The following is a 21,628-nucleotide window of genomic DNA, read 5'->3' as shown; positions in this document are numbered from 1 at the left end:
AGTTATGCCACATGGCAGGCAATGACTACCCATAACGGCCCCTTCCTTGTTGATTCTCGATGACTAGAATAACCAGAGAGACAAGACTTGTATTTTTGTCTAACAATAATGCCAAAAAGTACTAAATTTTCTTGAAAAAAAAAAGTGTTTTTGTTTTCCTTTTCCATACTCCTACATTATCTCTCCTCCAAAATTGAATAGTAGAGGATGATCTGCAGCACTTCCTCAATTTCCCCACACTATCCCCGCCCCCTAAGCCCCACAAAACACTGGCTGGCACCAGAGCCAAGATGGGTAGGTAGTTTGTTAAGTGAAAAGGAAAATTAACTGGTTTCCCCAAGAAAAGCAAAATAAAAAAATTCAAGTGTATGGAGACGGGGTATTGAAAAATCACAGTGTAAAACATCATTCACTTTAGGAAACAAATTAATTAAACTGCTAAATGTCAAACAAGACCCCTTATTATTCATGTCAGTGAAATTTCAACTCAGTAATAGGTGTGATAGAGATGTCAACTAATTGTTGATGATCTTTCTAACTAAATTGCTCTCACACAGTAGCATCAGGGCCTTGAGAGATGAAATATTTATGGCTGTCAAAATCTTTCTCTTAGGGTTACCAATTTGGCCTGTAACTTGAGGATACTGCCGTTTTCCACTTTGTTCCTATTACACCTTTCAATACTTTCTGATTACTTGGAGATTGCAGAAAGGCTGGACAGTCCTCACTATACTCTTCAAGTTAAAATAAGAAGCACCACTCCCTGTTGAGATAGTGACAGAGGTATTAGAGAGTTCTGTGCAAAAAGGAAACCATCTTTTTGACTTTGGTTTTTGTTCCTTCAGAATAAAATCCCATACTCACAACAGCACACCCCTTGAAAATTAGGAGAGTCTGCTGAACAATTTAGCAATGAAAAATTATTGCTGTATTTTACCTAACATATTGCATTAATTCTTAAGTTGCTCATAAAACATATTAATCAAAATTGAAGACTTCTTTCTAGACACAGATTGTTTCCAGACACAGTGTATCTTCTCTGATACATTTTTGCGTTGTCTTCATTCAAAAAAAAATTTTTGAAACAATTATTTTTGGTCACTTTAACAAATGCTTTTAGCTATTAAAAGAATGTGGTTATAGTTCCTGTTTTTTTAAAAGGAAATATTAATCAGAAATTTCATTAACAAACACTTATGCACATTTATAATATAATAATCATTTAATTCTCAAAATGATGATTCAAGCTCTTCAAAACCACAAGGCCGGGCAGGGTGGCTCATGCCTGTAATCCCAGCACTTTGGGAGGCTGAGACAGGTGGATCATTTGAGGTCAGGAGTTTGAATCCAGCCTGACCAACATGGTGAAACCCCATCTCCACTAAAAGTACAAAAATTAGCTGGGCGTGGTGGCACATGCCTGTAATCCCTGCTACTCGGGAGGCTGAGGCAGGAGAATCGCTTGAAACCAGGAGGCGGGTGTTGCAATGAGCTGAGATTGTGCCATTGTACTCCAACCTGGGTGACAGAGTGAGACTCCGTCTCAAAAAAAAAAAAAAAAAAAATCTCAAGAAACATCCTTAATTAGAAAGATTAAACTATATTTAAAATAATCTTATGTTTTTAAGTATTTTAAAAATAGCATATATAATACTTTTATTGAAAGGCCATATAATTAAAATTAAACATACAGAGCTTTTCTAAATATTCAAGGGTAATGAGTTAATAGTATATCTCTTTATAGCTATCCCAAATAGAATTATTTTGATATTTAGAGAGGCAATCCTAAATATATTTAGAGAGGGACAAAATTTTTTAACATTTGGGAAAAAAAAGAAGCTTCCCTTAGTTATATTCACTAGGCAGTAAAGACAAACCTCTCTTTCATCCATGTCCTCTGTCCCCTGAATCACACTATCTGGCTAAGACTCAAGCCCAGATCAAAAGAAACCAACAAAAATTAAACTAGAAAATGCATGCTAAAAATAATTTAACTGCATGGCTTCCCCCTGGCCTAACACTGTGGCATTTACTTCATTAAGTGTTTCTAAAAAACTCGCAGTGGGAAAGGTACTTAATTTATTTACTGCATGAGTCTAACGTGAACTGTGAAAGAAATTTTAAGTAAACGGGCATGGTTTGGAACAGGATTACTGGAACATTTGGTGTTTCATATGAGGCGCTCTTTTTTGCCCATCAGCACCCCTGGTACATTTCACCGTAAGCAATGAAATAATTTTGTTTGGCTTCTAGTACATATTTCCTGACAGAAGCTTGGTAATAATGAGAAGTTCTCAAAAAATAAAAATAAAAATAAAATGCAAAGAAAATTGCTTCTCCGTGACTCTCATTCTTTAGACTTGTTCTTTCTCATAAATAGATGCAACTGCTTGTGCTCTCCCCATTTGATGTATCCCAGCAATGTCTTAGACTAAAAATAGGTAAAGGGCCTAAAAACTAAGTAGCCACAGACTAAAGCTGGCATCTTTACTTTCTGCTTTCTCAGAGGAGTTGGACAAAGAAGAAGACAGAGCTAACAACCCCTAACTTGTCTTCTCACCTAAGCTTCCATTAGTTCCTCCCAGCTGTCTACTACAAATTTCAACATGTGCTGTAGCTTTAAACTCAGAATTTCTAAAACCGAAATGATAATCCTTCTTCCCAAACCAGTTTCCCCTCCCAAATCACTGACTCACTCACTGGTGCCATGGTTACTCCCATTTTTCAAGGTCATATCTTTGATTCATGTAACAGAGTAAGTCCTCCAATTTCAGATTTTCCCTAGAAGTAAGATCTCTGTGACTGACAGGTGAATGAATTGCCTATTCCATTGATCATGTAACTCCCCTAATCCCATGTGTTCTAAGATATTCCACAGAGATTATAGATATCCCTTACCAGAGCCTGAAGAGCTACCTTTGCCAGATTGTAAGCATTTTGACTGAGTTTTACAAGTCCCTTTATACCCAAATCCAAAGTTCTACCTAACTCCTCCCAGTCCCACTGAAAAGCCTCTACTAGTGACCAGAGCCACTCTCCCAAAAAGCTTTCAGACACCAAAGCCAGTACTGATCTGGCAGTATATCAAACCCTCCCTTATGGAAATTCAAAACACAAATGAGGCTCCAGTTACTTCTAGGTAAAATCTCTGTAGCTAATATTGTGATGTTAATCCTAAAACCTCTGTCTTTCCCTAGCCACTGGCTTCTCCCACCCCTTAGAGTTAAAACATAGAGATTAAGACACAAAAGTATATCAGGTCAGCTTTATTTGCCTCTTGGCCTGGTAGAAATAAGTGAGTGGTCTACACAGGACTACCCAACTTCTCAGAGGCTATGCAGTTCCCTTTCTCGTAAATATACCAAGTTCTCATCTGTCCCATCCCATAAGTCATAGCAGCCATATCCTATGATTTATGAGTATCCATCATATTCCTTTTATATATACTTATCTTAAAATATTCAGGAAGGATATGGGGAAGAATCTAGGCACGAATATCATTGCTATAGCAACAACCGTTGCATATAATTGACCTTGCATTTTATCTTTCAAAAGTTTCTCCTATTAATGTAGTCATTCAAACTTACTTACTCTATCTGCCATGTGTCAGGCCCTAGTCTAGGAGCTGGAAACAGAGCAGTGAACAAGACAGAAAAGGTCCCTGCTCTCAGGGCATTTACAATCTCAATAGTTCTTCCTTGGCCTTTCTTGTCATCTCAGCATCCTTTGTTTTAGAATTGGACATCCTTGATTAATCCATGTAGCATTCCCTCTTTTGCCTTTCTACCTAGTACAAACTAGCCACCATAAACCAATGTCCGCCTGCTCTCAGAGCAAAGAAGCACTAGGCTTGGTTAGTTCTTAGAGAGGAAAAAGCTTGGGCAAACTCGAGACACTCTGGGCCACCTATATCATGCCATACTAAAAATGCTTCATTCAATAGGCTCACCTCTTTATCAGCCTCTCTATCTAGTCAGTCACCAAGGTCTGGCAGAAGTTATTTTTCCTACATCATCTGGCATAAACATTAAGTTTTATGTTACTCCTAAACACATTTGCCCTTCTTGGATATAGGTCCTAGCCCCGGACAATTAATTCAGATTCTTCACCTCCTCTAATGATGCTTTTCCTGCTGGCTTCTATATAACCATTCACCCTCTGATTTCTCTAAGCACTGAAGGATTTTCTTTTTTTTTTTTTTTTGAGACAGGGTCTCGCTCTGTCACCCAGGCTAGAGTGTAGTGGCGCAATCTCAACTCATTGCAAACTCCACCTCCCGAACCCAGGTGATTCTCCCACCTCAGACTCCCAAATAGCTGAAACTACAGGCATGCACTACCATGCCTGGCTAAGTTTTACATTTTTTTGTAGAGACGGGGTTTCATCATGTTGCCCAGGCTGGTCTTGAACTCCTGGGCTCAAGCGATCTGCCCACCTCAGCCTTCCAAAGTGCTGTGATTACAGGTGTGAGCCACCATTCCTGGCCAGGATTTTCTTAGTAATTTTTTCTCTTCTATATTGGAAGTTGGGGGAAATGTCTGCCCCAGATTTTACGGCACACTGCTCTGCACTGTCAGAATAAGTCAACATCCATAGTGATTGAAGATGTCCTTTCCAGTGCTCCTACCCAAGAAGGGAAAGAGAAGTAAGTTCTGTGGGCTATGATTAGAAGAAGGCGCATTTGGAACTGGCCTATGGTCCCGAGAGGAGCTCTCCTTTCTTGTGTACCAAGAACTTGAAACATCTTTCTTAAGTTTCACAGTCCAAACATGGGAAGGAGCTTATGATATTAAAGCATCCATAAGCAGGATAATAAAAATTCAAAAACAAGTAGGAATAGAGATAAGGTATATCAGACACTATCCTAGCTGATGCAATGGAATAGCAAATTGAGCTCTGACCTTACTAGCAGTCATAGTGTACTAGAAACATAATTTGTTCATTTGTTAATTCATTAATTCAACAACAGTTATCGAGCTACTACTATGTACTAGTCACACTCCTATGTTCCAGTCCCCCTCTCCTTTGGCCCTTGTCGCATTCTGTGTGAAGAATAAGGTATTGGGTGGGTGGGGGTGGGTGCAGGAAGGGGCCTGTCAGTGGGGTAATTTGGCTGTCTGCAGTAGGCCACACAGAAGAGCGGCCTGAGGGCATTTCTCCCTCTAAATGGCTTGGAAATTGTGATCAATAGCTAGCATAGATGTGAAAATAAACACATACAGCAAATTACCAAAGCACTCATCAGAATGTTTTATTACCAAAGCTCTCATCAGAATGTTTTTTAATTCCATGAAAATGCAGGACTGCTTGTGAAAAGATTAACACCAAATGTAATTAAATAGATATTTTGTTTTTGTTTTCCTGAACTGGCTTCATCCATACAGATGGGGGACAGCATACATCATATCATTCCAAGCTCTTCAGGAGATCCTAGGAATACTGACATTTATTTTATTTGCTTTGAGAATGGAAGTTGGTTTGCATTTATCTTAAGAAAAAAACATTGAAAATATAAATCAAATAAAAATATAATTTTAAGCAAGTATAATGAAGCCCATTGTAAGTTGACTATACATCATGTCTTTCAAAATTTCATACAGATTTAGGTATAGATATTTTGATGTTGTCTTTAACCAGCTGGCCTTCCAATAGAGAAGAAATACTAGCTTTAATTTATTGTAGTTTAGAAACATCATACAGGAATTGAGAAAGCACAAAAAAAGTAGGAGACTCTTGAAAGGCTAGCAACAATGAAAGGGTAGGAAAAACTGTTCTTTAAATTTAGGTACCTGTAGGTCAGAAGAAGAGGTATACTGTCAAAATGAGATAAATGAAAGTACAATTTTGTGCCATGTGTAAAATACATCCATAAAAGCTAGAAAATAATAATAATGGCTGCCACTCATTTAATGCTTACAACATGCCAGGTGCTATGCTAAGTGCTTTATATGTTTTCTTATTTCATCCCTACAGCAAACCTATGATTTATTAGCCTCAGTTTATAAAGAAAATGAGAAACAGAAAGGTGAACTTATTTGTCCAAAGTCAAAATGTTGGCTAAGGGGAGGAGCTAGTAACTTTTTGCCCCTTTTTTGTCTTGTGTACAAAATTACATAGACATGGTCAAGCATCAGCTAATATTGTCCTGCAAGGTAGTGGCAGCCTGGAGTCTGAGTTCCTTGGTAAGTGGTAGCAGCAGTGACTACAAGTGTCATGGCTGACGTAAGGAAGACGCAATCGGAAGAACAATTTCACTGTGCACTCCTTCCTCCACCCACAAGCAGAGAAAGTTCTCAGAACGTTTTCATTCATACCTGTTCTAAAGTCTGAAATTACAAGGAGCTACAAGAGGGACAGCCTAGGTAAGCACAAAGTACAGTACTATTAGAAGATGGGGGGTGGGCAGAGTAAGCAGGTTGGACAGATTGGTTTGCAGTATTATTAAATAGGGTGGTCAAGGAGGTCTCACTAACAAGGTCAAATTTGTGTAAACACTTGAAGTGAGGGACCCAACCAAAAGATAAAATCTGAGGGAAGAACAGTCCAGGAGGAGGGAACAGCTGGAGGGAGCAAGAGCCCCAGATGGTTTTAGGAGGCAGATCTCTCAGCCCTCAGTTGAAGTACCTTTTTACTTTCAGATAATTTACAAAAGTCCAATGTAACGATTAAGAATGTAGGACGTGAAATACTAGTCAGCCATAAAAAGGAATGAAATAGGCCAGGCGTGGTGGCTCATATCTGTAATCCCAACACTTTGGGAGGCTGAGGCAGGCGGATTGCCTGAGGTCAGGAGTTTGAGACCAGCCTGGCTAACATGGTGATACCCTGTCTCTACCAAAAATACAAAAATTAGCCAGGCGTGTTAGTGCACACCTGTAGTCCCAGCTACTCAGGTAGCTGAGGCATGAGAATTGCTTGAACCTAGTAGGCGGAGGTTGCAGTGAGCCGAGATGGCGCCATTGTACGCCAGCCTGCGTGACAGAGCAAGACTCCGTCTTAAAAAATAAAAGGAATGAAATAATGTCCTTTGCAGCAACTTGGATGGAGCCACAGGCCATTATTCTAAGTGAAGCAACTCAGGAATGGAAAACTAAATATCGTATGTTGTCACTTAAAAGTGGGAGCTAAGCTATGGGGATGAAAAGGCATAAGATTGATATAATGGGCCAGGCACAGTGGCTCACGCCTGTAATCCCAGCACTTTGGGAGGCTGAGGCGGGCAGATCACTTGAGGTGAGGAGCCCAAGACCAACCTGGCCAATATGGTGAAACCCCGTCTCTACTAAAAATACAAAAATGAGCTGAGCACAGTGGCACATTCCTGTAATCCCAGCTACTTGGGAGGCTGAGGCAGGAGAATCACTTGAACCCAAGAGGTGGAGCATGCAGTGAGCCAAGATCATGCCACGAAACTCCAGCCTGGGCAACACAGCAAGACTCCACCTCAAAAAAAAAAAGTGATATAATGGACTTTGGGGACTCGAGGAGGAAGGTTGACAGGGAGGTGAGGGATAAAAGACTACATACTGGGTACAGTGTATACCGTTCAGGTGATGGGTGCACTAAAATCTCAGAAATCACCACTAAAGAACTTATCCATGTGACCAAAAACCATCTGTACCCCGAAAACTATTGAAATGAAGTTTTTTAAAAAGAATGTAGGCGATGGAATCAGTGGAATGTAAAATCTGAGAGGGAAAGTATAATGAGAAATGGGATATTTGTATAGTCTCAAAGTATGTCTCAACAAGATATTTATTAATATTAATTACAAAGGGGAAAATAGTAGTGTTGTAATGGAGGATCCTAGGATCCACCACTTCAGCCAAGTGATCAAGGTGAACATTACCAGTAATTGAGTCATGTTAGAATCATGTAGCCCCAGTATGATTCACTGAGAAGGAGCACATCACTTCTGTAATATTCTAGTTTAAACTTTAAAATCTCAATGTAATCATGAGAAGACATCAGATGAACTCAAATTAACAGACATTCTACAAAATAATTGACTAGTACTCTTTAAAGTATCAAGGCCGTGAAAGACAGAGAAAGACTAAGGAATTACCACAGATTTAAAGAGACTAAAATAAAATGACAGCTAAATGCAGTATGTGCTCTTGGATTGGATCATGGACCAGAAAAAGGATATTAATAGAAAAACTAAAATTCTGGTGAAATTTGAATAAGCTCTGTAGAGCAGTTAACAGTATCAATGTCAATTTTGAGATTTCAATAATTATTCTATGGTAATGTAAGATGTTAACATTCAGGGAAGCCAGGGGAAAAGTATTTGAGAACTGTCATAGTCCATTTTTTATTGCTATAACAGAATACCTGAGCCTGGGTAATTTACAAAGAAAAAAGGTTTATTCTGATTCACAGTTCTGGAGACCGGGAAGCCCAAGATTGGGCAGCCACAACTGGTTGGTTTCTGGTGAAAGTCTTGTCCCACGTTGTAACATAGCACAGAAGTCAAAAAGGAAGTGAGCAAAACACAAAGGGTAGCCTCACTTTATAACAACTTGCTCTCATGGTACCAATTCAGTTCTACAATAGTGACAACTCACTCCCATGAGAATTACCGAGTCCTGCAAGAGCAGCATTAATCCCTCTTAACCACCTTAAGGCCCCACCTCCCAACACTGCCATACCAGGGACCATATTTCCAACACATGAATTCTGGTGACATACTCAAACCACAGCAGGAATTATACTTATTTTAAAACTTTTATTCAGGAGGCCGAGGTGGGAAGATTGCTTGAGCTCAAGAGATCAAGACCAGCCTGGGCAACATGGTGAAACCCCATCTCTACAAAAAACACAAAAAATTGGCCAGGCATGGTGGCATGTGCTTGTAGTCCCAGCTACTTAGAAGGCTGAGGTGGGAAGATCACTTGAGTCCAGGAGGTGGAGGTTGCAGTGAGCCAAGATGACTGCACTCCAGCCTGGGTGACAAAGAGAGACCCTGACTCAAAACAAAACAAAACAAAAAACAAAAACAAAAAACTTTTTTTTTGTAATAGTCTAAAATAACTAAAAGTTAAAAACAAAGAAAAATAATTAGGCTATTGGAGACAGTTCCCTGAGCTCAAATCCTGGCTGAGCTGAAACCCTGGCTCAGTCCCTCATTAGCTCTTGTCACCTTTCTGTGCTTCAGTGTTCTCACATTAAAGCTACAGGAATTTAAGACATATAATTTTTTTTTTTTTGACATGGGGTCTGGGTCTGTCATCCAGCCTGGAGTGTAGTGGCATGATCTCGGCTCACTGCAACCTCCACCTCCCAGGTTCAAGCAATTCTCCTGTCTCAGCCTCCCGAGTAGCTGGGACTACAGGCACATGCCACCACACCCGGCTAATTTTTGTATTTTTAGTAGAGACAGGGTTTCACCATATTGGTCAGGCTGGTCTCGAACTCATGACCTCAGGTGATCCACCTGCCTTGGCCTCCCGGAGTGCTGGGATTACAGGCGTGAGCCACCACACCCAGCTGAGACATACAATTTAAGACATACAAGTTACATCATATTTTTCCACTGCCTTTAACATAATATTATAGAAATTGATAAGGATATCCTAACCAGATTACTTATATTTATCATAGGATTATTTACCTAAAGGAAAAAAAATCCCATAGAAAGTTATTCAATCTATCCAGGCCAAACTTTCCTTTTACTACACATCCTACATATACACATACGTATTCCTTTGAGATAAGGTAAACGTTTAGCCACAGTACTGGAACCTCTAGGTGGATGTCTACAATGGTCTCTTGTAGGATGTTCACAACCTTTGAGTGTGAGGGAAGGAAAGAAACATGCTTTCATTGTGCATGAAAGCTCGGAATTTTTAAACACTGTAGTGGGGAACTCCCTTCCTGTAACTGGTTCTATACCTATAGGTATACTGCCTACTCACTCCCTTGCTGTGACTGGCTATATGCAAACCAGATAAACCTAAGGTGCTGATGCCACAGGATTAATACCTAGATATTTGCTCTGCTATTTCCCACCAATGTGGCTATAGGTTTACATTTACGCAAATTAGGCAACTCTCATGTGTTGATGCTGAATAAGGCACTGTGATTCTCCCTAGGATCTAGAATCAATCACAATTGATACACTAATTCACTCTATACCAGTGCTACTCAAAACAGGGTCTACCTATGCCAGTCCTTAAAGTCACTGTTACTTGTTCAAGACAAGGTCATTACATTAAAGTACTTAGAAACTTTTCACATTACCACAACGTTTTTACTTTATCAAAGTCTCAGCCCATAAGTGCTAAACATTTAAACACATGCATAAAAGTCCTTCACCACAGATAGTTTGAGAAACACTGTTCTGGAACAGTGCTACTCAAAGTTTGATGTCCAGGCTGACAATGAAGTGTCTGTTGCCAGTTTGTGCCGAGGTAAGTTTCTTGCATCAGAATGCAGATCATTAAGCACATTGTTTAGTTCGGCTGACACTTTTTTCACAGCATGACTTTCTTGATGAAGGAAGCAGTAAGTTGATTTAATTCTGGTACAAGCTGCTAAACTCCTCTCAGTCTAGTGCTTTGAGTAGCACTACTCTACTTCATCAGTAAAATGGGGATAATGAGAGTAACTATCACAAAGCGATGTTAAACATTAAACTTAATGAAACATGTAGAGTGCTTATAAACAGAACTAAATAAATATGAATAATTATTACTTTTACTATTATCACAACAGGACTTCTAAAATGATGAGGAGATCACTGCAAACAGAAAATAGACAAGAAAAAAATGAGATGAAATCAGGGTCATTACAAAAAAGGCATACTACATGGTACAGTACACCAATTAGAAGTAGGCCACCATGAATTTGGTTCAGTGCTTTTTTGCAGTCAATAAAAAGGAGAAAATGTGATGTGTTCCATGATGCACACTATCCATAAGGTTTTTTTTATAAGTGCTCCAAAGAAGTACAACCAATCCTGGTTCTGAGTGAAGGTCATTAAAGATTTAAGGTCTGAGTTTCAAAATTGAAATTAAACCTACTTTGCCTTTTGCCTCCAATTTGTAATGACAAAAAGAATTTACTGAAGCAAGGTAGAAGTTCTAACAGACTTGCTATAGAAGAAAATTTAGCCATTAATCTGTCATTTCAGTCAAAGTTAAGCTCATTAATAACTTCTATTCAGCTCCAAACTGCCTTCAATTTTTCTATTCCTTTCTGATAAGGACACACATATTCAAAAAAAAAAAGATTGCACAAATTTTATGAATTCCAAAATGAACAGGTAAATAATATTGAAGATAAGAATTTTCTTGTAGGCACTACCTTTCTAAATGCCTTGTGAGCTTTTCGAATTAAAACGTTTTAAAGAGTATGTTTGCCATTCCGTCACATAGTCATTTTTATAAACATTTCAGATTTGAAGATTTTTTGATCAGCATAAATTTGCAAGATAAAAATGATACCTTGATTATTTAAAGTAATATTAGCTAACACATTTTGAAATATGACAAAAAGCAAGAACGGTTTAAACAGAGTTAATTTTGAAAGAAAATTAGTCAGTAAAGCACACTTATTACAGAAATCCAATTTGGTATAAGGAGATGGATTTCTTGAACTATATTTATACTATGTGAAATGTCTCATGTTGTTATTCATTATTAGCACTAAAAATCTGGGTTTACCAGTATCTGTATTCATAGAGTCCCCCTACATTGAGAAATGGCGTTTATTTCTGTCCGACCAGAACATAACTAGGATTTTAACATAATATCTATCCCAAAATATAAACAAAGAATAAATTATACAGATATTGACTAAAACCAACCACTATTATCCCCAGATGTTTAAAACAGTATAATCAGAAAGAAATATGAAAAATAACTCACATATTTAAATGAAAATCGCTGAAAACTGTCTCACATGCAAGGAAGAGAATCATCCCTTTATTTACAAAATCCTTAAGGCATGAGAAAAATTCTCCAATAGAAATAAATATATTGTGTAGAAGAGATGAGGTATACAAGTAGTCTTCAACTCATTCTCCTTGAATTTCAACTTTCCTTATTTCATTTTCTCACTTTTATACCCCTACCACTTAGCTTAGGAACATTTACCATTTGCTCCTTCTTTCCTTGAAAAAAGCACAGATTTAAACTTTTAGTTTCACAGGATGCGGTGGCTCATGCCTGTAATGCTAGCACTTTGGGAGGCCACGGTGGAATGAACTGCTTGAGCCCAGGAGTTCGAGACCAGCCTGAGCAACATGGTGAAATCCTGTCTCTATAAAAAAATACAAAAATTAGCCAGGCATGGTGATGCACAGCTACTTGGGAGGCTGAGCTGGGAGGATGCTTGAACCCGAGAGGAGGAGGTTGCAGTAAGCCAAGATCGCGCCACTGCACTTCAGCCTGGGCAACAGAGCCAGACTCTGTCTCAAATAAATAAATAAATAAATAAATAAATAAATAAATAAATAAAGTAAATAAACTCCTTGTTTCTCCTTAATGTAACAGGAACAAGCTGACATTTTATAAAGGAAGCACAGTTGACTCTTGGACAACACGGATTTGAACTGCACGGGTCCACTTACACATGGATTTTCTTCCGCCTCTGACAGCAAGACAAACTCCTCCTTTTCCGCCTCCTTCACCTCAGCCTATTCAATGGTAAGATGATGAGGATGAAGACCTTTATGATAAAGAATAGAGCAACTGGACATCAGCAAAAAAGTGAATCTTCACCAAAAACTCCCACCTTATACAAAAAATTAACTCAAACTGGACCACAGACTTAATGTAAAACATAAGACTATAAAACTTTCAGATAAAAACAGAAGAAAAGTTTTCAGGACCTAGAGCTACAAAACTAGTTCTTAGAATTGATGCCAAAAGCACAACCCACAAAGAAAAATAAATTGGACTTCATCAAAACTAAAAGCCTTTGCTCAGCAAAAGACCCTATTAAGCAGATGAAAAGAGTAGCTGCAGACTGAGAGAAAACATTTGCAAACTACTGCATATCCAACAAAGAGTAGCATGTAGAATATATTTACAAATTCTCAAAACTCAATTATTAAAAAAAAACAATTAGAAAGTGGGTGCTCTAGTTTCAATATGGTTTGTTTGACCCCTCCAAATCTCATGTTGAAATCTGATCCCCAGTGTTGGAGGTGGGGCCTAACGTGAGGTGTTTGGTTCACAGGGATGGGATCATTCACAAATGGCTTGGTATCATCCTTGCAGTAATAAGTGAGTTCTTGGTCTATTAGATTCAGTGAGAGCTAGTTGTGAAAAAGAGCCTGGCATCTCTCCTCCCACCCCTCACCACATGACCTCTGTGCACACTGGCTCCCCTTTGCCTTCTGCCATGAGTGGAAGCAGCTGGAGGCCATCACCAGAAGCAGATGCTGGTGCCATGCTTCTTGTACAAGCTGTAGAACCATGAGCCAAATAAACCTCTTTTCTTTACAAATTACCCAGCTTCAGATATTCCTTCATAGCAACAAAAAACCAGACTAACACAATGGGCAAGACACTGAACAGGTATTTCACAAAAAAGGATATACAGATGGAAAATAAGCACATTAAGAGATCTTTGACAACATCAGCCATTAAGGAAATGCAAATTAAAGCCATAATGAGATATCACCATACATCTATTAAAATGGCTAAAATAAAAATAACAGCAACACCAAAGGCTGGCAAGGACGCAGAAAAACTAAAAGGCCCCACCTCAATTCTGCCCTTGTAAGAGGCATAGGAAATTGAACAAACCCCTAGGCCAAAAATCAGAAAGAAGCACATCATAGGCATCCATTAAATGGTTGTTAAATAAACAAATTACACTTGTCTAAAGCCAAATATTCACTTTTATGGAATCATAAGGTAAGCCAATTATGAGCTCTCAAAAAGCTCATTTTGAATAAAGAATTAAACATAAATTCAAAAATATCTATAAATACTTGAAATCTGAACTAATACAACATATGACCCTAAAGGGAGTGCCCTAAACTAAGTCCTAAGTCATTTGAGCAGTGTGTCTTATCTTCTAGGATTCTGGGGGAAGATAGGGAATTAAGGCAAGGGTGGGACTCACCATAACACAGATGAGTTCTGGGTTGTGTTATGGTCTGAATGTTTGTGTCCCTCAAAATTAATATGTTGAAACCCTAATCCCTAATGTGATGGTATTTGAAGATAGGGCCTTTGGGAAGTAATAAGGCTTAGATGAGGTCATGAAGATGGGGCCTTCATAACAGCATCTGGGCCCTTACAAAAAGAGACAACTCTCTCTCCCCCTTCCCGTTTCGTTTTCTCTCTCTCTCTCTCTCTCTCTCCCCACCCGCTCTTCCCCTCTCTCTTTTCCTCTTTCTCTACCTCTCTCCACAAGTAAATTCATCAAGGAAAAGCCATGTAAGAACATAAGGATAAGACAGCCCTTCTAGGACAAGCCAGGAGACGAACTCAGCAAGAACAGAATCTGGAGGCACCTTGATCTTAGATTTCCTAGCCTCCAGAAGTGTGAGAAATAGATTTCTGTTGTTTAAGCCAACCAGTCTAAGGTATTTTGTCACAGCAGTCTAAGATCTAAGAACAGCGTGCTTGAAACTACAACTCTGTCACACTGGGTTTGGACAGACTTCACGTGGACAAATGAAGAAGCCTAGAAGCGATTCTTTTTTCCTCTTTTTCTCAGTTTGCTGCATGTATCATCTCTGGGCTGAGAATTCTGATAGGAATATTTGAAAATTTTCATCTCAAAGGTCCTCTTCCCTTTTATCACCAAAGTTTAGTCTAAAACTTCTATGACATCTCAAGCCTGCTGTAATTTCTCTTTTCTCTCTGAAGACTGATACTATTAACTTTTTCACATATCTTAGAACTTAAAAGTAATCTGGCTTGCTGATAGAGTGTGTCATATGTGGTTATCTGATTTCCCAATAGACCATCAATATCTTAGGACAGAGCAATCTCTTATATTCTATCCTCTTTACTCTTACTTTCCCTCACACTCTTGCAAGCAATGATTTAGATATGCAAAGTTTCTAACAAAGGTAGGTCAGAAGTACTTCCATTGTTTGCTTTTGGGCCAAACCTGAATGACACAAGCAGGGGAGAGGTTAAATTTCTGGAAAAAAAAATTGGTTATTACACTAACAAAAGAAATATGGAATATGGGAAAGAATTTTTTTAAATAATGAAATAAGCTTTTTTTGAATAGACTTTAGTTTTTTGTTGCATTTTTTGGTAAGAAAAATAACATGGAACAGAATAAAAATGCCCTCTTCATAGCCAAGCAAGCACTTGGCTATAATATATGCTAATAAAACTGTGACAAAGAATTATATGTAGCACAGGACAAATCAGTAGTCATCATCACAAAAACTAAAAATAATTAGATGAGTTAAAAAAATGTTTTCTATACCCCCAAATTACATATCCTATTAATACATAGTATTTTCCTTTAATTGGCTAAGAAAAAGGAACTATAATATATTTTATTATGGATAATAATTATTGAATAGTTTTACCTTCTCTCTTCTAAAATCAGCTTTCCTTAAGGGACAGTTGAAATCTCAAATTATTAAATCTTGAAGGTGGATATGCATGCTGGGCTCTCAGTGTTCTTTTTCCTTTAAAATAAATACCTTTATGAACCACCTTGAAATATTACCTAACCCAAGTTCAACAATCAAGGTGGTATGTCTTGAAATGTTCTCCTCTAAAAAGCTAAGTTAAAATTCTAATTAAGATGGCAAACCAGATCAAGGCAAGACATTATCAAGCATTATCAATTTAATGGTGATTAGTGCATCAGATTAATTTCTAGAGAATGGACACAGTGAAACTGAAATAAAGCACTGGCCATTTTTAAAGAAAGTTAAAAGGGTACAAGGGCATGGGAGGTAAGGAAGGCTTGAAGTGCAGAAAGGGAAAAGAAAAAGAGAGCAGACCTGGAGTGACAGAGACAAGGATACTAATCAGTCACAGGGCACACAAGAGCACAGGGCAGGGTTTAGGGGAGAGATACAACAATTCAAATCTAAGTTGGGAAACACCAAAGATAAATGTATATTTATTCGGTAATTTTTTTTTTTTAAAGACAGAGTTTCAACTCTGTTGTCCAGGCTGGAGTGTAGTGGTGCGATCTTGGCTCACCGCAACCTCTGCCTCCTGGGTTCAAGCAATTCTCCTGCCTCAGCCTCCTGAGTAGTTGGGATTACAGGTACCTGCCACCATATCCAGCTAATATTTTGTATTTTTTGTAGAGACAAGTTTCACCATGTTGGCCAGGCTGACATTACATGTGTGAGGCACTGCGCCTGGCCTATTTGATAATTTTTGCCTGAGGCAAGCCTTACATAGCCTTTACATTTTCTCTTTTTGTTGTTTTGCTTTTTTGTTTTTGTTGTATCATTTTATTCTTGTTTCGCCTCCAACCCACCCCGCTACTCTATTGCCCAGGTTGGAATGCAGTGATGTAATTATAGCTCACTGCAACCTTCAACTCCAACTCCTGGGCTCAAGCGAAACTCCTGCCTCAGCCTCCTGCTGGGACTACAAGCACGAGCCACCATGCCCAGCTCCTTTACGTTTTCTAATGTTACATCCTAATTCAAACATTCGAACTGCACCTATAAAAATATTTCCTGAGTAGACCCAGTGTTTCAATTTGTCCGAGCCCTTTATTAATTAATTTTTTAATAGGACAAAAGGCATACAAATTCATTTAACAGGTATACATGAGAGACTTCACAATGAAGACCCAGCCTCCCAATGAGTTAGGAGATAGGAGATAGGCAACTTAAATTCTACAAGTCTCTTTCTTCACTCCTGTTCCAAATTACAGCTCTATATTCTAGTAGAAACACGTAGCATTTAAAATAGACCCTTTCAAAATTGTGATGGGACATTTCTCCATTGTTCCTTTATATTCTCTGGCACACACATAATGTACAGTCAACAACAGTTCTATCTCACCCAGTGAAAGTGTTTAATAGCAATAGAGTGTCAATGCTTTCTCAAAAGAAAGATACCACACGTGGTTATAAATAAAGGTAAATAAAATACTGAATTAGTCTTGAATTGAAGAAAAAACCTACCATTGCAGAAAGAAAAAGAACACTGCCATATATTTGTATATAAAAATTAAGATTTGTCATAGGTATGTATATAAAATATTCACATTGAATATATAAATATATATTATGCAAACTGAAGTTAGTACTAAGTACAAGTCTCCAGGAAAAAAAAAAACCAAAATATATAAGGTTAAAAAAAAAGCTAAGAAATTGCTAACAAAATATTCTCTCTATATCTTTGATCTTCAACTAATCTGAGGCTGGGCATGATGACTCATGCCTGTAATCACAGCAATTTGGGAGGCCAAAGTGGGAGGATCATTTGAGGTCAGGAGTTCAAGACCAGTCTGGTCAACATGGTGAAACCCCATCTCTACTAAAAATACAAAAATTAGCTGGGTGTGATGGTGCGTGCCTATAATCCCAGCTACTCAGGAGGCTGAGGCAGGAGAATCGTTTGAATCCAGGAGGCAAAGGTTACAGTGAGCTGAGATTGTGCCACTGCACTCCAGCCTGGGCAACAGAGCAAGACTCCAGAAAAAAAAAAAAAAAAGTATCTGAGAAAAGGGCAAAATGCTGGAAATGTTGGAAAATTGAGTCAACTAATATGTGACAAAACAAAGTAATAAATTCATAGAATTTAACATATATAATAACTTGGGTCAAATTTTTATGATCTAATCAACATAAATATATAAATTCTCTTTACATTATCTTATTTAAAAACTTGTTTTTTTCCTACAATAATCCAGGAAAAAATTAATCTTATAAACTAGATGACTACAACAAAAATCTTTTAAATAATTATAAATATCAAGGAATTTAAAAATACAGCACAAAAATGTTTTTCAAAGAACAATGTTTTTGAAGTCTGATAGTTCATACTTCAACATATTTTAAATAAGACAAGCTCAAAAGAGTCCTAAAAAGGGAGGCTAATTCAAAATGTATCACAGATTTAACTGTATGCTTATATTTATAGTCTGATATGGAAGAACTTCAGTAGATAGTGTAAAACCTACTTAGATACTCTAAAACCCTAGTGAGAACTAGATTAATGATACTCTAGAGACATGTAGGGACAGCTTTGAACTTATATTCTGTGGTTCTGTGCTTATATTTTAGTCAACAGTTTCGCAGGATATTGTCCTTTTCATGTATTTTAATATTTTCATCAAGTGAATCTTGTATTTACTTCTTGAAGCTATTTAAAATGAAGAGTGAAATTTCATAAATCTAGGATAGATAATAAATATGTACATGAAATCCAACTCAAGTATTCTTCCAATACATAGTACACAAAGCTTTTTATATTCAATTCAACCCAAGGTATAAACCCAATGTCATCTCTATGAATGAAACATGGAAAGACTACTCCTAAGTAAGAACTATAACCATTCAGAAGTATCACAAAACAGATTTTACTCAGTGCTATTGTGCCAAAAGCCTTTCATGTGAGACTCCTACAAAATTTTCATGGTTCTACAACACAGAAATCATAAACAGTCACACTTCAGAACCTCATGTTCACTCAACTGGAAGATCTGGGATACCCCAAGTAATATTAGAAGAATTTCATCAATACTCACCAGGCTTGTCACAGGACAAGTACCAAAGAACAGTGAATTCCCGTTTTGTTGTAAGGATATAAGATAATAATGTGTGATCTCTATGATTCACTATAAGAATTTAAAAGACATACAATAAAATTATAAAGACAAATTCCCATTTTGTAAGAACTGTACTGATGTTTTAGTATGTCCTTCACACTAGAGAGCAATTACAAAGTATGATATGAATACACTAGAACTTGAGCCTGACTATATTCAAAGCTTCAATTAATTTTAAATGATCAAACAACTGTACTGCCAAGAGACAAGAAACCACAGGTCTTTTACATGATCCTACAAAGTAATAGACAGAAAAGAGGTCACTCTCCAAGGTCAGCATATGCAGTGCTAGAAACATTCAAGTAAAGAACCTCACATAAATGGCTGCAGACGCTTCTGAAGACAGTCCTTGTTAGCATCATTCAAATAATACTTACAAGTTTCTCCATATATCTGCCTATTCTTGAGGATAAATGATTAGATGTATTCTATTTTCTTACAGAAATCAAATAATTCATTTTTTAAAAAAAGATTAAACATAGGTCACTCATCTCAGAATTGCAACTCGTCTTAAGTAATAAGATCTCTTACAATAAAAGAGGTTTTGCAAATATCATCTATATTTTTACCCTCATAAACACAGTGCTCACACTATGCCAACCCAAATGGGAGATATCTGTTTATATACTTGAGAGAAATCCCTCCCCCAACCCCCGCCATTACCACAAAATTCAAGACTTGAAAGTGCTCAGGATAATTTGGTTATTTCCAACAGTCAAAAGAGACCAATCTCATTTGGGAATATTGGCCAATAATTAAGGAGATATCAGTTGCCTTAGCAACAGATTCCTTCCCAAACAAGCACTGTTTTCATTCAGCAGCCTTTAGCCAAAAGGGGAATTAAATCACTGAAATCAACAATTCCTTTGTTTAGCAAACAGAACAGCTTTCCAGGTCTCAAGAAAACAGTCCCCTCGCAGTTGGTCCAGTATTGCCCAAGGTAGCAGTTGTTTAGTTGAATAAGCCAACCTCTTGAATTACAGGATTTTATCATCAAAACCACTGCTAACAGAACTGCTAGCTTTTGCCAAAGAAACATGACAAAAGAAAGAGCATCTCCTAAGTAATACTAATGAATATATTTAGCTACATACATCTTAACCTTACGTAGAGAATGTATATGTGTGTTGATGTAGCTCCTCATATTTACTCTAGCAAAGGATTAGTCCACCTACTCTGTTAATAAATAGCTTGTTTTACTTTAATTTCTCAGTGTAAGAGCCTAATCTCATATTAGACAATTTAAAAATTATTTGACATGGGTCATCACCAAAACTGAGAAACTGAATAGCTACATTTCTGCATGTTCATATAACCTGTCCAACTCCACAACATGAAGTCATGTCACTGTATTAAAGCTATCTAGAGAGGTTAAGCATTGCTCATTTTCTAATAAATAGTAATAATAAATAAATAAAGGTGCTATGATGGATCTCTCTCAATAGACACATACTTGAACTCCCAAGGGCTCCACAGGGTAAAAATATAAAGGAAACAAGCATCAAACTCTTGTACAAAATGCTTATATCCTAACTACACTCCATGATCCCTGATGTCTTTATTTCAGACTATCTCCATAATGAATGACCTAACCTTTCCAGTCTTACTCTACCACAACATTCCAATTTACAAACCTACTCCCTACCCCACACAGGTCCCCCAACTTCCCTGCTCCAGATTTCTCTTCTGGTAAGAAGACTTCACCCTGCCCCGATGCCCGGCAGGTGTCTGAATTGCTTGCTATGTCAGGATCCAGCTCTGATGCCTGCTTGGTCTTTGCCTTTCTTGCTCTTCTGGGGCTGCCTATAGCCCTTCATATACTATCCCTCTCTCTCTCTCTCTCTCTCTCTCTCTCTCTCTTTGCCTGCTTAATTTTTTTAAATTACAGGTATAATACATGCTCCTCAAAATAAAATCAAATAATATGGAGGTATAAAAATTCTTAAAAAGAAAAGGTCCCTGGTTAGAGGTTTATTCCCCCAAAAGAACAGTTAATAATTTGGTATGTAACTTTCAGGTGTATCTTTACTACATCTATACAAATATGTTTGTTTTTTTACTAAATGGGATTTTTTTTACTCTCTCTTATCTGTTATCCCTACATAAAAAATGTTTAGAAAAATTAATATGAAAGAATGAATTTCCTGAATCCATTCCACTACACATACTGAAATGTACACATTCATTTTTATTTCTTATCCCAAGTACTTTCTTCCAACTCTGGCTAGTAAAAGAACAATGTTCTTTTCCATTTATGAAAAATGAACACTGTCCAATCTACACTATTTATTTTTCTGATCATAAAGAATAAACATACACAAAATATTTCTTGTGAAACAGCGATGTGTAGTTATCTGTCAACATTCCCAATATTAATTGAGGTAAAATAATCAGCTAATAAAATTTTTGCAGATGTACGAAATCAGTTTTCTAATTTACTCTGGAGCCTTTAAAACTACATTTGCCTTTAATTTTGTCACATTTTTAACAAAAGAATAATAACTAACATACTGTAGCTATGAATAATAAATGAGGATACCCTTCCACTTCCAATTTAAAAACCCCTAAATGTCCAAGGTCTTTGACTAGCAGATTATTTCGGCCAAAGGTTGACATTTAACTTCTAAGTCCACTGTTACACTAAAAATGCAACAAATGATCCCAACAAAAAACACTGCCAGCAGCTCTAAACGTTTTTACCTACAAGTAAATCAGTGTATCAGAGTCCCCAGATGCCTACATATTAGACTTAAATACCCAGTAGAACTAAGCATTTCTATTACCATGGATTACCATTATTCATTTAAACTTCATTTCCCAAGCCCAAAACTGGAACACCACATTTGTGACTACACATTTATCTATGATGAAGAGAGAGAATTCAAAGTCATAT

The 21,628-nt window shown here is 37.4% G+C and overlaps 1 protein-coding gene across 8 annotated transcripts in view; it reads right to left on the bottom strand.

Annotated features, from left to right (window-relative positions):
• The window catches only part of CAMKMT (calmodulin-lysine N-methyltransferase), a 410,646-nt gene that overhangs the window by 254,288 nt on the left and 134,730 nt on the right, over positions 1–21,628 (bottom strand). Inside the window, exon 1 of one of the 8 annotated variants that reach the window (XM_017004982.3) lies at positions 12,575–20,599. The exons of the other annotated variants lie outside the window; for them this stretch is intronic. Coding sequence (XP_016860471.1) covers positions 12,575–12,578 — 4 coding nt within the window. The 5' untranslated portion in view covers positions 12,579–20,599. Of the gene's footprint in view, positions 1–12,574; positions 20,600–21,628 lie in introns of those variants that run through there. 8 annotated transcript variants of the gene reach the window in all.

This window comes from Homo sapiens, chromosome 2 (genome assembly GCF_000001405.40).
Source record: "Homo sapiens chromosome 2, GRCh38.p14 Primary Assembly".
NCBI classification, from domain to species: Eukaryota; Metazoa; Chordata; class Mammalia; order Primates; family Hominidae; genus Homo; species Homo sapiens.
The sequence above is the reverse complement of the archived record's forward strand: the minus strand, read 5'-3'. Positions and strand labels throughout refer to the sequence as shown.